This window comes from Homo sapiens, chromosome 11 (assembly GCF_000001405.40).
Source record: "Homo sapiens chromosome 11, GRCh38.p14 Primary Assembly".
NCBI lineage: Eukaryota > Metazoa > Chordata > Mammalia > Primates > Hominidae > Homo > Homo sapiens.
In genome coordinates this window covers 78,028,842-78,044,048 of record NC_000011.10, presented here as the reverse complement: position 1 = coordinate 78,044,048, position 15,207 = coordinate 78,028,842, and the positions used below count along the sequence as shown (strand labels likewise).

Sequence of the window (15,207 nt, the reverse complement as noted above, 5' to 3'; positions counted from 1 at the left end):
GTAGGTGAAGAGGTGGGTTTTAACTCTGTTCTCCCTTCTGGGGAATCCTAGGTGGGTGGTCCAGCTTCACTTTAGGATCAGCAACTCTGGCCTTGTTTCTGCCTTTGGGGCCTCAGCTGAAATTCTGAGCCTACTGGAAAGTCTTCATTTACATTGTATTAGTTTCCAGACTTTCCCTAAGAGCTATTCAGGGTGTCTGTCACCTCGAGCCAGAAGAGACTTCCTCAGAGGATCCACCCAAGACAAAGCTGCCATCAGTTCCCTGAGTGAAACCCTTCCTTCTCTGTCAGCTGCATGTGGGCTGCACCACTTTGCCTCACCTTCCACCAGAAGAATCCTGCCCCTGCTTCTCCACTTGACCAACACCTTTTGGTCTTAGAAGACCCGAGTCAAAATGTCACCTGCTCCAGGAGGCCTTCCCTGACACCCCACGAGCTGGTTCAGGGGGCCCCTCCACTGTGCTTGTGCCAGCCCTGTCACGAAGGATTCTGTTGGCATTCCCTCTGTCTCAGTCTATCCCCTCACTTGATTCTGAGCTCTTTGCAAGCAAGGATGGTATTTGTTTTATTGAGTATGTTTAATTGTTTCATACGAAAAGCACACACAGGCTGGGTGCAGTGGCTCACACCTGTCATCCTAGCACTACTAACCTACTTTTGGTTTATCTGAATACCTCATTCTTTTTTAGCGATGACAGTTATTCCATAGCAAGAGACATCATCATTTTATCTAACCATTCTAATGAATGGATATTGAGTATATTCCTATTTTGTGGATAATACAAGCAACATTGCAACAAATATCTTACTACATAGTACACATGAGAGTATTTTGGTAGAAGAAAATGCCAGGGGTTGGGCTGCTGGAACATAGGGTGTGTGCATTTAAAAGTGTAACAGAGGCCAAGTGCGGTGGCTCACTCCTGTAATCCCAGCACTTTGGGAGGCCAAGGCAGGTGGATCACTTGTAATCCCAGCACTTTGGGAGGCCAAGGCAGGGATTACAGGTGTGAGCCACGGTGCCCAGCCCCTCTTCCCTTGTCTTTGTCAACCATGTGTGCAGTAAAGAAGCAGGCAACATGGCACCGGCCAGGTAGGGAAATCATTTGCATAATGAAAAATTAGGGTGGGGTGGCCAGCTTCTTCGCAAGCTATATAAATGGCACACCGGGTCTGACCAATCTTTTGTGCCCTATGTAAATCAGACACCACCTCCTCAAACTCGTCTAGAAAACCCCATGCATTTCACCACAGAACCAGAAGACCCACTCGGGAGCCTTTCTCTCTGCAGGAGAGAGAACTTTTCCCTTTCTCTTGCCTATTAAACTTCTCTCTTAAACTCACTCCTTGTGTGAGTCCGTGTCCTTGATTTCCTTGGCATGAGGCAATGAACCTCAGATATTTACCCCAGACAATGATGCTGCTTCAACACGAAGGTGGCCATGCCACGTAGGAGATGGAGTTATTACTCAAATCAATCTCGTTCAAAGCGCATAGGTTAGGGATTTTTCTTTTCTCTTTCTTCTATTTTTTTTTTTCTTTTTGAGATAGTCTCACTCTGTTGCCTAGGCTGCAGTGTAGCGGTGGGATCTTGGCTCACTGCAACCTCCGCCTCCCAGGTTCAAGCAATTCTCGTGCCTCAGGCTCCTGAGTAGCTGGGACTATAGACATGCGCCACCACGCCTGGCTAATTCTTGTATTTTTAATAGAGATGGGTTTTCACCATGTTGACAAGGCTGATCTGGAATTCCTGACCTCAAGTGATCCATCCCGCTTGGCCTCCCAAAGTGCTGGGATTACAGGAGTAAGCCACCGTGTCCAGCCATTATCATTTAAACTATGAACGAAATTTCTCCCAAAGTTAGCTTGGCATATGCCCAGGAATGAGCAAAGACAGTCAGCCTGTGACACCAGAAGCAAGATGGAGTCAGCCATGTCAGATTCCTCTCACTGTGATAATTTTGTGAAGGTGGTTTTTTTTACCAGGGGTCCTTGCTCACAGAGCTCCCAAGATGGTGGCGAGCTACTTCCAAGATGGTGGCAGGCCACTTCCAAGATGGTGGCAAGCCTTTCTTGGCCTCACGGATTCCAAGGAATGGAATCTTGGGCCATGCGGTGAGTGTTATAGCTCTAGTAGAAGCCGTGGGTCACGGAAGAGAACCGTGGAACCCAGTGACTAGTGTTCAGCTCGATTAGGATGAACCAAGGCACTTAGCTGTGCAGGAACAATGGCAAGCCTTTAGCACGATTGGGAGTGGCAACGGGAGTCTCGCTGGATCAGGAGCACAGAGGACACCCTGCCAGATCCGGAGGGATGGGAGTCAGTGGCAAACAGCAGTGGTGGATGGTGAGCGAAAGCTCAGCTCGAGCCGTAACAAACATGGACCAGAAGAGTGCAGTTGCAAGATTTAATAGAGTGAAATAGCGTGAAAACAGAGCTCCCATACAAAGGGAGGGGACCCAAAGGGGGTTGCCATTGCCGGCTCCAGTGCCTGGGTTTATATCCTGATCATCGTCCCTCCCGCTGTGCTCTCAGGCAACAGATGATTGGCTATTTCTTTACCTCCTGTTGTTGCCTAATTAGCATTTTAGTGAGCTCTCCTTACTATCTGATTGGTCCCATGTGAGCTAAGTTGTAAGCCCTGTGTTTAAAGGTGGAAGCGGTCACCTTCCCAGCTAGGCTTAGGGATTCTTAGTCGGCCTAGGAAATCCAGCTAGTCCAGTCTCTCAGTTTCATGCAGACTGGGTCTGCTGTGTTCTTGGGTCTCCAGCATCCAGCCCTGAGCCCACCCACACACAGTAGGTTTGCTCCCTGCAGCAACATCATAAACTCCAGTGCCCCTACCTACATCCTGCTGCCACTGCGCCAGTGCCGCCCTGGTGAGTCATCAGACCCAGTGTGCTGGCCCCTGGGGTGATAGAGCCTCTAATGGAAGCTTGACAGACTGTGTGTCTCCCAATCCTTGAAGCCCAGAGTGCCTGGGTCAACCTGGCTTACCAGGCAACTCCCACTTCGGAGATCTGTTAGCTTTGTCCTTTGTGAGAGGCAAAATCACCTTCCATTCAAATTAAGTCCTAGTGGCCGGGCGCGGTGGCTCACACCTATAATCCCAGCACTTCAGGAGGTTGAGGCGGGCGGGTCACCTGAGGTCAGGAGTTGGAGACCAGCTTGGCCAACATGGTGAAACCCCATTTCTACTAAAAATACAAAAATCAGCCGGGCGTGGTGATGCGTACCTGTAGTCCTAGCTACTGGGAGGCTGAGGCAGAAGAATTGCTTGAACCCGGAAGGCGGAGGTTGCAGTGAGCCAAGATCACGCCATTGCACTGCAGACTGGGGGCCAAGAGTGAAACTCCATCTCAAAAAAAAAAAAATAATAAAATAAAATAAAAAATCAAGGCCTAGCAAGGAGAATGTTGGTTGCCTTCTCTCCCTGGGGAAGGGATGACTCACAGAACAGGAGTGGTGGATGGAGGACAGACAGCCACCGAAGAGACAGAGAAAAGACACAGAAATGAGGCTGGATTCCAGGCGGAGAAAATTAAAAGGTGCAGAAAGAAGGCAAAAGAGGAAGAAAACAGCAGAGAGACACACAAAGAGAAAAGAGCCAGAGAGAAAGAGGAGCAGAGTTAAAGAGAGAAGAGACACAGGAAGAAGTGGAGGGAGAAAGAGGAAACAGAAAGGAAAAAAAGAAGAAAGAAAGAAAGAAAAGAGACAAGGAAGAGAGAAGGAGAAGACAGGAGAAAGGAAAAAGAACATGGAGCAGGAAGTGAGTTTCTGAGGGTACTTTGAATCAGCCAGAAAAAATGCCCGTACTTCAGATTCCAGGAAGACATGACACGGGAAACGGGGGCAGCCTTGGCTTGGTTCTCAGCTCCTGGCCAGCGGCCAGCTCTGGTTTCAGCCCTTGCCTGCAGCCCCGGAAGTCTGTTGGAGGTCAGACTCTGAACATGGGGCAAAAACATAAACAGGGCAGCCACACTCTGTGTGCCTGGATGGTGGGCACAGCTTTCTTAGTAATTTGGAAACACTGAATAAGAGCTCAAAAAAGTGCCTACTCCTTGCACAGTGCCTTAGCTATCAAGGATGCTCACTGCAGCACTATTATAGTAGAGAAAGAGAGAAAAAATACAGAAGGAAGGAGAGAAGAAAGAAGTAAAATGTGGCTTAGTAGATTTATGATACATTCATACAACACAATGCTCTGTCGCCATTTTAAAAAGTGGTACAGAAGAGCCCTTCATATGGGGGAAATCGTCACGATACCAGGTGGAAAAAATGAGTACACTTTTTTTTTTTTTTTGAGACAGGGTCTCACTCTGTCTCCCAGACTGGCTCACTGCAGCCTCAACCACCTGGGCTCAAGTGATCCTCCCACCTCAGTCTCCTGATTAACTGGGGCTACAGACACATATCAACATGCCTAGCTATTTTTTTTTCTTTTGTAGAGACAAAGTTTCACCATGTTGCCCCAGGCTCATACATGTTTAAATAAATCTTTTCTTTTTTTTTTTCTTTTTGAGACAGAGTCTTGCTCTGTCACCCAAGCTGGAGTACAGTGGTGAGATCATGGCTCACTGCAGCCTCAACTACTGGGGCTCAAGCAATCCTCCCGCCTCAGCCTCCTGAGTAGCTGGGATTACAGGAGCACACCACCACACCTGGCTAATTTTATTTATTTTTTTTGTATTTTTTGTAGAGATGGGATCTCTCCACATTTTCCAGGCTGGTCTTGAACTCCTGGGCTCAAGCGGTCTGCCTGCCTCGGCCTCTCAAAGTGCTGGGATTACAGGCATGAACTGCCGCACCTGGCCTGGTTAAATAAATATTTTAAATGGCATGATTCAAGTTTTGTTAGTGGATATATATGTAGTAGGGGTGGCACCAACCCTGTCCCAGTTCAAGGTCCTCTTGAAATTCAGTTCAGCCCAACCCTGTGGTCAGAGACACCTGTTTTTTTGTGTTTTTTTTTTTTTTTTTGTAATCTAAAGTCCAGACTCTACTCCTTCCCTCCTAGCCCCATATTCTCCCTTCTGGGGAAATTCCCATGAGTTTTAGGCAGGGCGCCAATTCCTGGCCCTTGCTCCCGCTATGGAATCCCTTGCAAGAGATGGGATTCTTTTGCTGGCAGCCCCTGGTACATCCGGGCCTGACCGTGACCACAGCAGCAGTAGCCATCCAGTTCTGCAGTGTGGCTCCAGTCAGGCTCCTGGCCTGGGCCCTCTGAACTCCTGGTCCTCGTCCTTTGTGAACACTGATAGTCTTCTAAGAAATTCTCTTTCTGTTTCAGGGGGTGACATTGGCCTCTGTTGCTTGTCCCCAGGATCCCTCTCTGACACCCCTGCTGTGTTTGCTGTGGGGAGTTCTGCTGCCACCACCCATTAGGTATGCAGGTCACCCCCTCTCTTGGGTCCAGGTGTCTGGGCTGTGTGAGATGGTGGAGAAGCTGTTCACTTGGGGTAACCAGCTGGGGCCTACGCACTTGGGCTGGGGAGCCAGTGAGCGGGGAGCCAGATGGGGTGCGGTTGATTCCTCTCCAGGAACCCAAGGAGGACAAGTTGGGAGAGGTCCTGGGTCCAGGCCATGGGAGATGCCCTTCTGAGTGACAGTGGACAGTTGGTAAACAATAATTGTTTGCACGTGGTCCTGGGCACCAGAAAATTGGCCCTGCAGGCCAGAGGCCATCAGCATGGCCTGAGAAAGAGGTTTGGGGTAAGAATAGGGAGAGGATGCGAGAACCTCTCACTCGAACTGGACCAGGGAAAGGCCTATGGGGCTTCAAAAGATGTCTCAGAGAAGGCAGGAGGAGCTGTCCACCAGGAACAGGACACCCGAGGTCCCAAGACTTGGGACGCTGCCCATGTTGGCTACTTCGTTCTGTCCTGTCTTTGCTGGCCAATTTTCAGTCAGAAACCCTTACATGGGAAGGGCCTCTGGATATGTTTGGGGAAGTAGAGAGAAAGGATGGTGTGGGGGGCAGAGTGCCTTAATCCATGCTGGTCTGGTGGGGAAGCCTGGGGCAAGAGTCAGGTAGCACTGATTTTTTTTTTTTTTTTTGGTCAACTTTTTATTGAAATGTAACTTACACACAGAGGAATGCACCTAAGTTAATATTCACAAAGTGAGCACACTTGTGGAACCAGCACCTAGCTCAAGAAAAAGAACTTTATTCAGCATCCCAGAAGCCTCCCATTAGGGAGGCAATGATTTTTTTTATTTATTTATTTTTGAAACAGGGTCTCACTCTTGTTGACTAGGCTGGAGTGCAGTGGCGCGATCTTGGCTCACTGCAACCTCTGCCTCCCGGGTTCAAGCGATTGTCGTGCCTCAGCCTCCCGAGCAGCTGGGATTACAGGCACCCACCACCACACCCGGCTAATTTTTGTATTTTTAGTAGAGACGGGGTTTCACCATTTTGGCCAGGCTGGCTGGAGGCAGTGATTTTAAAGTGGAACATGGGCAGGGTCTGAAAGCAAAGGGAGGAGGTAGGAAAAGGTCCTCCCATGTGCCAGCCTGGGATGAGTATAGTTCTGGGGGCTCAGCAGGAGGTCCCTTCTTTATTGGCACCAGCTGGTGAACTGGCCTACTCACAGGGCTCAGGAGTGCACCAGTCCCTGGTGCTCAGGGCCTTGGAGCTGGCCCTTGGGAGCTTGGAGAGCAAGTTATCAGCCATAAGTAGCCCTGCAAAGAGAGCCCAGAAACAGTGTTTGTGGAGGTCACAGAATAGGTGGAGCTGGGCCTAGAGCCTGAGGGCAAACAGGGAAGAGGATGTGTCCTGGCTGGGCTGGGAGGGCGTGTGCCCACGAGGTCTGAGAGTGGCTGGCCCCGGGGGAGTGGTTGCAGCAGGCACTATTTGCTCCCCAGTTTCTGATTGTCCAGGAATGATTCACATGAGTTTTACTGATTGGCCCCTCTGCCTCTCATCCTGTGGTGGACACCTGAGTAGGGGACAGAGGGCACCATGGAATGAGCACAGCTGTGGCTCAGAGGGACCTGGTTTTGAACCCTGGCTCATGGTTCCGTGACTTTGGGAAAGTCATATTCCTTCTTTGGCCTTGGTTTCCTCATTAGCAAAATGGGACAACAGCATGTACTTCCTAAGACAAACTGTGTAAAATGCCTGGCATTGGGCAGGCAATTAATACATGTCTGTTCCTTTCCTTTGCCATGTTTTCACTTAGCAGCGATTTATCCGGGGCCTAGCATGTAGCAGCCACATGTGCTCAGCACCAGGATCACAGTGGTGAACAAAATCACAGATGTGGAGACTGGCTGCCCTCATGGAGCTTGGGGCAGACATTCAGTAAACAAAGGCATGTCCTGAAGGAAAAGTAATGTCTTACTAAAAAGAATCATTGATGACAGCCTTCAAATAGAGTGGTCACGGAAGGCCTCTTGGGAAAGGTAACATTTAAGCTGAGATCTAAAGTATGAGAATGAGCCAGGCATTTGGGAAAGCAGTGCCGGGAGGAGGCTAAAGAACACAGGCTTTACAGCCAGATGTATATGGGTTTTGAATCCTGTTTCCTCTATTTATTTAGCTGTGGGACTTTAGGTGAGTGTCTTCACCTCTCTGGGCCTTGGTTTTATCTTTTGTGAAATGTGGCTAAAAATACCCACTTTATAGAATTGTGAGGATGAAACTCAATCGTGCATACAAAGTACCCTGCATGGAGTCTGGCACATGGTGAGCACCTGTGAAAATCAGCTCCCCTCTTGTCCCAGTTTGAGACTGTCAAGTGTACAGCATAGACACAATGCATGCACATGTGTGCACACACATTCACACTCACACTTGAAACACATATAGATATGCAGGCAGAACATAGATAGCTCTCTCAAGCTGGGTATTTCAGGAGACTTTCATAAAGGGACTCTTTTGTTTTTTTTTTGAGACAGTCTCATTCTGTCATGCAGGCTGGAGTGCAGTGGTGCAATCTCTGCTCAATGCAACCTCCTCCTCCTGGGTTCAAGTGATTCTCCTGCCTCAGCCTCCCAAGTAGCTGGGATTACAGGCACCCATCACCACACCCAGCTAATTTTTGTATTTTAGTAGAGACGGGGTTTCACCATGTTGGCCAGGCTGGTCTCAAACTCCTGACCTCAAGTGATCCGCCTCCCTTGACCTCCCAAAGTGCTGGAATTACAGGCGTGAGCCACTGTGCCCGGCCATGAAGGGACTGTTTTTTTTTTTTTTTTTTTTTGAGATGGAGTCTCGCTCTGTTGCCCAGGCTAGAGTGTGGTGGCACAATCTCAGCTCACTGCAACCTCTGCCTCCTGCGTTCAAATGATTCTCCTGCCTCAGCCTACCAAGTAGTTGGGATTACAGGTGCGCAACACAATGGCCAGCTAATTTTTTGTATTTTTAGTAGAGAAAGGGTTTCACTGTGATGGCTGAGCTGGTTTCGAACTCCTGACCTCAAGTGATCCACCCGCCTCGGCCTCCCAAAGTGCTAGGATTACAGGCGTGAGCCACCGCGCCTGGCCCATAAAGCGACTCTTTACAAAGAGTCCCTTTGGCAGGGTTTGGGGAGAGTAACAAGAGATAGTGCAGACCCTGAGGGTTAGTAACAGGGTGAGGAAGGGGGCAGTTAGCAGAACTGAGATGATAGCTGTGTGGAGACAGCTATCACGGGCTGGGACCTTCAGAAGAGGGATGCAGCCAATGTATAGGAACTCGACAGGGAGAGGGCCCGGGAAGGAATATTCTGGCTTCTGCCTCCTCTTGCCTCTGATCTCCCGCTAAGCTCCCATTGGCCAAACTCAGTTGGAAGCCAGGGTGCATGGAAGCCTGTGGATGCACCCCAAAAGGATCAGCCTCCCAGAGTAGAAAAGGCTGGAGTGGATCTGGAGAGACAGGTAGAAGAGTTACAGCATGCTCTCCACTTCCACTGGCCTCTTTAGAATGCCAGAAGTGACAGATATACCCATTGTAAAGTGGCGTAAGTCAAAAAGAAAAACCCTCGGTCACCTAACCGGAAACTCCAGGGGTAGGGCCTTAGGCAGAGCTTCATCAGTGCTCAAATGATAGCCGGCAATCAGGTTCTCATCAACTCTTAGTTCTATGTTCCTTTGTAGGTTAACTTCAATCTCAGGCTACATATGGTGGCAAGATGGTGGCGGTAGAGAGTAAAGAAGAGGGTGGCCCCCGAAGCAAAGCCGTTGTTCTTTACAAAGGAGAGTGAATAAAAGCAGGGTGGAAATGTTACACATGTTCACTACAGTGTACCTCGGAGAGCTCATGGCCCATAAACTCAGGCAAGAGGGATTGAGATCACTGAGGCCGCGGTGAGCAGGGTCCCCTGCTTGGCTATAGTCTGTTTGGGGATGACTCAGACTGTCTTGAAAACACGTGGGCTGTCCGTTCCCACCTCTGCACTGAAGGGACCTGAAAGATTACTTAGCCCAGCAAAAAGACGAGATTTGTACAAGACCATGTAGTTAATGTCAAGGCCAGGACTTGAACCCAGGTCGCACAATCTGTCCTCCACACATGACTTGAAAGAAAGAAAGAAAGAAAGAAACACCCATACAGAGTGTTTGGGTGAAAAACAGAGAGAGGAGAGAGGCAGAGAGAGAGAGAGAGAGAGAAAGATTAAGACAGTATAAAATAATATACAATGAAAAGTAATTTTCCTCCAGGCACAGTGGCTCACACCTGTAATTCCAGCATTTTGGAAAGCCAGTGAGAATTGCTTGAGCCCAGGAGTTCAGCCTGGGCAACACAGGAAGTTCTCGTCTCTACAAAAAATTTAAAAACTAGCCAGGCATGGTGCTATGCACCTGTAGTTCCAGCTACTCAGGAGGCTGAGGTCGGGGGATCTCTCGAGTCCAGGAGGTTGAGGCTGTGGTGAACTGTGATTGTGGCGCCCCTGAACTCCAGCCTGGGTGACAGAGTGAGACCCTGTCTCAAAAAAATAAATAAATAAAAGAGCTGGGTGTGGCATCCACTGCACTCCAGCCTGGGTGACAGAGCAAGACCCTGTTTCAGAAACAAAAAAGTAATTTTTGTCCCATGATGTATTCCTGGTCCTCTTTCCAGAGGTAATGATGACTAAGTCTCCTTTATATCTTTCCAGAAATTACCGTTGCAAATGCAATGGTGTGCATATATGTATTATATATAATGTGTGTATATATATATATACACACACACACATACACACACACTATTATTTTCTTTGTTATCTTTTTTTTTTTTTTGAGATGGAGTCTTACTCTGTCACCCAAGCTGTAGTGCAGTGGTGTGATCTCGGCTCATTGCAACCTCTACCTCTGGTTCGAGCAATCCTCGTGCCTCAGCCTCCCAAGTAGCTAGGATTACAGGCATGTGCCACAACAGCTGGCTAATTTTTTTTTTTTTTTTTGAGAAGGAGTCTCGCTCTGTTGCCCAGGCTGGAGTACAGTGGTACAATCTCAGCTCACTGCAACCTCTGCCTCCTGGGTTCAAGTGATTCTCCTGCCTCAGCTTCCTGAGTAGCTGGGACTACAGGTGCCTGCCACCATGCCCGGCTAATTTTTGTATTTTTAGTAGAGACAGGGTTTCACCATGTTGGCCAGGCTGGTCTTGAACTCCTGACCTGAAGTGATCTGCCCTCCTCGGCCTCCCAAAGTGCTGGGATTACAGGCGTGAGCCACCGTGCCCTGCCCCTGTCTTTGTTATCTTGGTGACCTTCCTATATTAGCCACAGAGATTCACCTCATTTTCAATAATAGAAGAGTGTTCTACTATATGGATATATTCTTATTTAACCAGTCCCCAAATGATGGACATTTAGGCTGCTTCTGGTCTTTTGCTTTTGCAAACAATGACGCAACGAACATTCTTGTGCACATAGTGTCTTTGCACATGTGTGCTCTAGGGGCTAATCCTAAGAATGGAAATGGTACCTCATGCCTTTCAAGGGCTTATGCTGACACCACTTATGCTAGAAAGAACAAAGACTGATAGAGTTGGAAGGGATCTTAACCATACTCAAGCCCAACTCTTCCCTCCTCATTTTGCAGATGAGGACACTGAGGCCCCAGGTCTGACAGCAGCCTAGTGGTAGATTTGAAGTAGACTATGGTTGGGCATCATGGGATAGGCCTGTAATCTGAGCACTTTGGGAGCCTAAGGTGGGAGGATGATTTGAACCTAGGAGTTTGAGACCAGCTTGGGCAACATAGTGAGACCCCCAGCTCTATAAAAAAAATTTAAAAATTAGCTGGGCATGGTGCTGTACCTGTTGGGGGTGACATGGTTGAGCCTGAGAGGTTGAGGCTGCATTAAGCCATCTTTGCACCACTGTACTCCAGACTGGGTGACAAATTGAGATGCTGTCTCAAAAAAAAAAAAAAAAAAAGAAGTAGATCACTTTATGTTCTCCCAGAGAAGATGTGGAGGAAAGAGGGCAAGGCTGGGAGTAGGGCAGTACTGTCCTGGCCTGGAAGGGCAGGGTGTGGACAACAGAGCAGTTCCTGAAGCCAGAATGCCTGGATTTGAATCGTGGTTTAGCAAAATAGGCTTTCTAAGCTTCAATTTCATCACCTGGAAAATGGGGGTGGTTTTAATCTTCCTTTAGTCTTCCTTATAGGGTTGTTGTGAAGATTAAATGAGATAATGCCTGTGAAACAAAGGTTACCTTTTACTACCATTTCCTAGCCTGGGCATCTTGACTCCTGTGCCTTGCAAGAGGCATTTTTGGGGTTAAAAGACCCAAGAGCTGGTGAACTGGGGAAATGCCTGGCTTCCAGCCAGGCTCTCTGTTCTTCCAGTCAAGGCTGAAACTGAGCAGGTTCTAACCTTATCCAGAAGCTCTGGCTGCCTGCTCCCTCCAGAAAGGAGCTTGCTGGGGCTGGGACCCAATCAAGTGGAGTGGTTTGAAGGAAGCCCAGCCATACTTCCTCCCAGTGCCTCCCTGTGCCTGGCACTGACAGTACAGGGCCTCCCAGATTCCTCCCAGAAATGGTAGGGGCATCAAAACTCCCATTTTTGAACTGAAGAATATGAGGCTCCCAGAGTTCAGGGGACTTGCTTCTAAATAAAGAATTCCCTGGGTGGAGTGGGGGACTTCCCAAAGGGAAGGAGGACACATTGGTTCACCATTATCTGTGAGCCACCATTATCTGTGATCCACCATTACCTATGGGCTCTTTAGCATGTCTATCCATATCTATAGTTTCTTCCACTTTCTTCTCAGAGCACTGGTCACACTGTGAAACCAGATATTCATTTCTGTGGTTATTCAATTACAGCTGACAATGGGCCCCTTGAGGTTAGCTCTTGTCCCCTGGTTCACTGCTCTTTCCCCAGTGCCTGGTGCCATGATTGACACACAGTAGGCAAATATGTGTTCCTCCTCTCTAAAAAGGGATTACGGGCTGGGTGCTGTGGCTCACGCCTATAATCCCAGCACTTTGAGAGGCCGAGGTGGGCAGACCGCTAGAGATCAGGAGTTTGAGACCAACCTGGCCAACATGGTGAAACCCCATCTCTACTAAAAAAAAAAAAAATACAAAAATTAGCCAGGCATGATGGCTGGTGCCTATAATCCCAGCTACTCGAGAGGCTGAGGCAGGAGAATTGCTTGAACTCTGGAGGCGGAGGTTGCAGTGAGCCGAGATCACACCACTGCACTGCAGCCTGGGCAACAGAGCAAGACCCTGTCTCAAAAAAAATAAAATAAATTTTAAAAAATAAACAAATAAATAAAAAGAGATTGCAGGTATGGTGGCTCACACCTGTAATCTCAGTACTTTGGGAGGCCAAGGTAGAAAGATTGCTTGAGCTCAGGGGTTTGAGACCAGTCTGGGCAACATAGTGAGACACCATCTCTACAAAAAAGTAAAAAAAATTAGCTGGGTGTTAGCGGTAATCCCAGCTACTTGGGAGGCTAAGGCAGGAGGGTTGCTTGATTCCAGGATGTCGAGTCTTCAGTTAGCTATGTTAGTGACACTGCACTCCAGCCTAGAGTCTGGGTGACAGAGTGAGATTCTGTCTCAAAAAAAAAAAAAAAAAAACCATTACTTGCTATCAGCGTTATTCTGAAGAGTCAATGGGATAAAGCTCTCCAAAGTGCCTGGCACAGTCAGATCAATCTGATGTAGTCCTGGACCATTCTCTACAGACTTGCATATTTCTCAAGCAGGTATGGAGCAGAGGGAGGGGAAGAGGGTCCTTGTGGGTTGGCAGGGGTCTCCTTCTCTGCAGGACTCACAGAGGGAGCCTTGTATGGGAGCGGGTGGACAGGATGCCTCGTGGCACAGCTGAGCCCCAGGCTGCCAAGCCTGGGCTGGGCTAGGCTGGGCACTCTGCCACAAGCAGCCTTCTGAGGGCCCTTTCATCTGAGTCCCAGCTGCCATTTGGCTGGCTGGCCTAAAGCCCAGCCGCCTGGAGGGGAGAGGGGCTGGCCGCATTGTCTCCTGAAGAACAGAGGGGAGTGAGTGAGGGGAGGGCAGAAGGAAGCAGTGCTTGCTCTTGGAGTCAGGCCAAAGGGAAACAAGATCCAGTGATAGGCAATAGCAAGGGGCTGTTTGAATTCTTTTGTTGCCATAGCATCAAGCAAGGCAGGATCACAGAGACCATCTCAGAAAATACACAAACCCCCACCATATTACAGGTGGAGAACTGAGGCCCAGAGAGGGGCAGGGACGTGTCTAAGGTGGTACTGCAAACTGGTGGCAGAGCCGAAACTAGAGCCCTGCTCTCTCGTCTCCTGGTCTGACTGACTCAAAGAGGTGCTTCATCTCTGGGAGCCTTGGGGTCCTCATATAGAAAATGGAGGTGCTAATGCCTATTTTGAACTGCCAGGGTCAAATGTGCTAATGTCACTGGAAAACTGAGTTTTTTTCCTACTTTGCATTGGTGGCAAAGAAAGAACATGCAATTGGAGGGGGGGAAAAAAGAAGCAAGCAGGTTTTATATTCCTGTCCAGGAATGGAGACAGAGAGAGCTCTTGCTCTAAAGAAATTTTCTCACAGAAAGGCCAGGCGCGATGGCTCACACCTGTAATCCCAGCACTTTGGGAGGCTGAGGCAGGTGGATCATGAGGTCAGGAGATCGAGACCATCCTGGCTAACACGGTGAAACCCTGTCTCTACTAAAAAATACAAAAAAAATTAGCCAGGCGTGGTGGTGGGCGCCTGTAGTCCCAGCTACTTGGGAGGCTGAGGCAGGAGAATGGTATGAACCTGGGAGGTGGAGCTTGCAGTGAGCCGAGATTGCGCTACTGCACTCCAGCCTGGGGGACAGAGCGAGACTCCGTCTCAAAAAAAAAAAAGAAAAAAAAAAAGTCTTGTCTGAGATTCCTTGTGGAACTGAGTTCCATCAAAACCTATTAAAAAACCCTAGTAAAAATAATTATTCTGGCTGAACTTTATGCAAATAATCAGGCCAACCATAAGACTAAAGTTTATTTTGCAAACAACTCAGTCCTATCATAATCTCTTTTTGACAAAAGTGAGAACAGGAGAGAGAAAAATTAAGTTTCAAAACTTATCATACACTTGACATTACATTCCAGTTTCATTAGTTGTTTTTAAGTTTTTCCCACATTTTAAATTAACCCTGCTTATTCCTGTGAACCAACCAGTGACCTCTGGGTAAAAACAGAAAATCTGGATCAATATACTAGTTCTGGGGAATTACCCTGCAAATCCTGTCAGGTGACAGCAGTAAATAGGGTGCCCATAACCGGGAGGTTTCTTCCTTTGGTGAAATAAGACCAAGGGAGCTAACCAAAGCCAAGCCCCATGCACCCAAATCTTAGCAGGTGTAACTATAGTCACTAGTTATCTGGGCGTGTCAGCGACTTCAGGATTTCTAAGCCGTCCTTACCCCCTTGTTTTGTTTTCATACATCTCTCTTTTTTTTTTTTTTTTTGGAGACAGAGTCTTGCTCTTTTGCTCAGGCTGGAGTGCAGTGGCATGGTCTTGGCTCACTGCAACCTCCGCCTCCCGGGTTCAAGCGATTCTCATGCCTAAGCCTCACCAGTAGCTAGGATTACAGGCATGCACCACCATGCCCAGCTAATTTTTGTATTTTTAGTAGAGATGGGGTTTCACCATATTGGTCAGGCTGGTCTCGAACTCCTGACCTGAAGTGATCTGCCCACCTCGGCCTCCCAAAGTGCTGAGCCACTGTGCCTGACCTCATTTTTATGCATGTCATTTAATAACCTGGTTTGTCTCTTCTTGCCTCCTAGGATCAAGTGATCCTTTTACTTT

General features: G+C 48.3%; 2 protein-coding genes across 4 annotated transcripts in view, besides 5 other annotated features; both read left to right on the top strand.

Moving 5' to 3' along the window:
* The window catches only part of NDUFC2-KCTD14 (NDUFC2-KCTD14 readthrough), a 64,148-nt gene that overhangs the window by 35,814 nt on the left and 13,127 nt on the right, over window positions 1–15,207 (top strand). For 2 of the 3 annotated variants that reach the window (NM_001203262.2, NM_001203260.2), the window contains one exon: window positions 5,291–5,385. The exons of the other annotated variant lie outside the window; for it this stretch is intronic. In NM_001203262.2, the coding sequence (NP_001190191.1) occupies window positions 5,291–5,385 (95 nt within the window). The remainder of the gene's footprint in view (window positions 1–5,290; window positions 5,386–15,207) is intronic. 3 annotated transcript variants of the gene reach the window in all.
* Window positions 1–15,207, top strand: part of KCTD14 (potassium channel tetramerization domain containing 14) — a 30,477-nt gene that overhangs the window by 2,143 nt on the left and 13,127 nt on the right. Inside the window, exon 2 of the mRNA NM_001282406.2 lies at window positions 5,291–5,385. The gene's annotated coding sequence lies outside the window, so the exon portion shown is untranslated. The remainder of the gene's footprint in view (window positions 1–5,290; window positions 5,386–15,207) is intronic.
* Window positions 3,505–4,461: an enhancer, noted in NCBI's record as "H3K4me1 hESC enhancer chr11:77750634-77751590 (GRCh37/hg19 assembly coordinates)". NCBI's record gives its function as "activates a minimal SCP1, AML or CMV promoter by ChIP-STARR-seq in primed H9 embryonic stem cells {active_cell/tissue: H9 hESC(primed)}" and the evidence as "EXISTENCE:reporter gene assay evidence [ECO:0000049][PMID:30033119]".
* Window positions 3,809–3,868: a silencer, noted in NCBI's record as "silent region_3806". NCBI's record gives its function as "represses an Ori minimal core promoter by ATAC-STARR-seq in GM12878 lymphoblastoid cells {active_cell/tissue: GM12878}" and the evidence as "EXISTENCE:reporter gene assay evidence [ECO:0000049][PMID:35858748]".
* Window positions 6,712–7,006: a silencer, noted in NCBI's record as "tiled region #10650; K562 Repressive non-DNase unmatched - State 23:Low". NCBI's record gives its function as "represses a minimal TATA promoter and a strong SV40 promoter by Sharpr-MPRA in K562 cells {active_cell/tissue: K562}" and the evidence as "EXISTENCE:reporter gene assay evidence [ECO:0000049][PMID:27701403]".
* Window positions 12,110–12,179: a silencer, noted in NCBI's record as "silent region_3805". NCBI's record gives its function as "represses an Ori minimal core promoter by ATAC-STARR-seq in GM12878 lymphoblastoid cells {active_cell/tissue: GM12878}" and the evidence as "EXISTENCE:reporter gene assay evidence [ECO:0000049][PMID:35858748]".
* Window positions 13,301–13,813: an enhancer, noted in NCBI's record as "H3K4me1 hESC enhancer chr11:77741282-77741794 (GRCh37/hg19 assembly coordinates)". NCBI's record gives its function as "activates a minimal SCP1, AML or CMV promoter by ChIP-STARR-seq in naive H9 embryonic stem cells {active_cell/tissue: H9 hESC(naive)}" and the evidence as "EXISTENCE:reporter gene assay evidence [ECO:0000049][PMID:30033119]".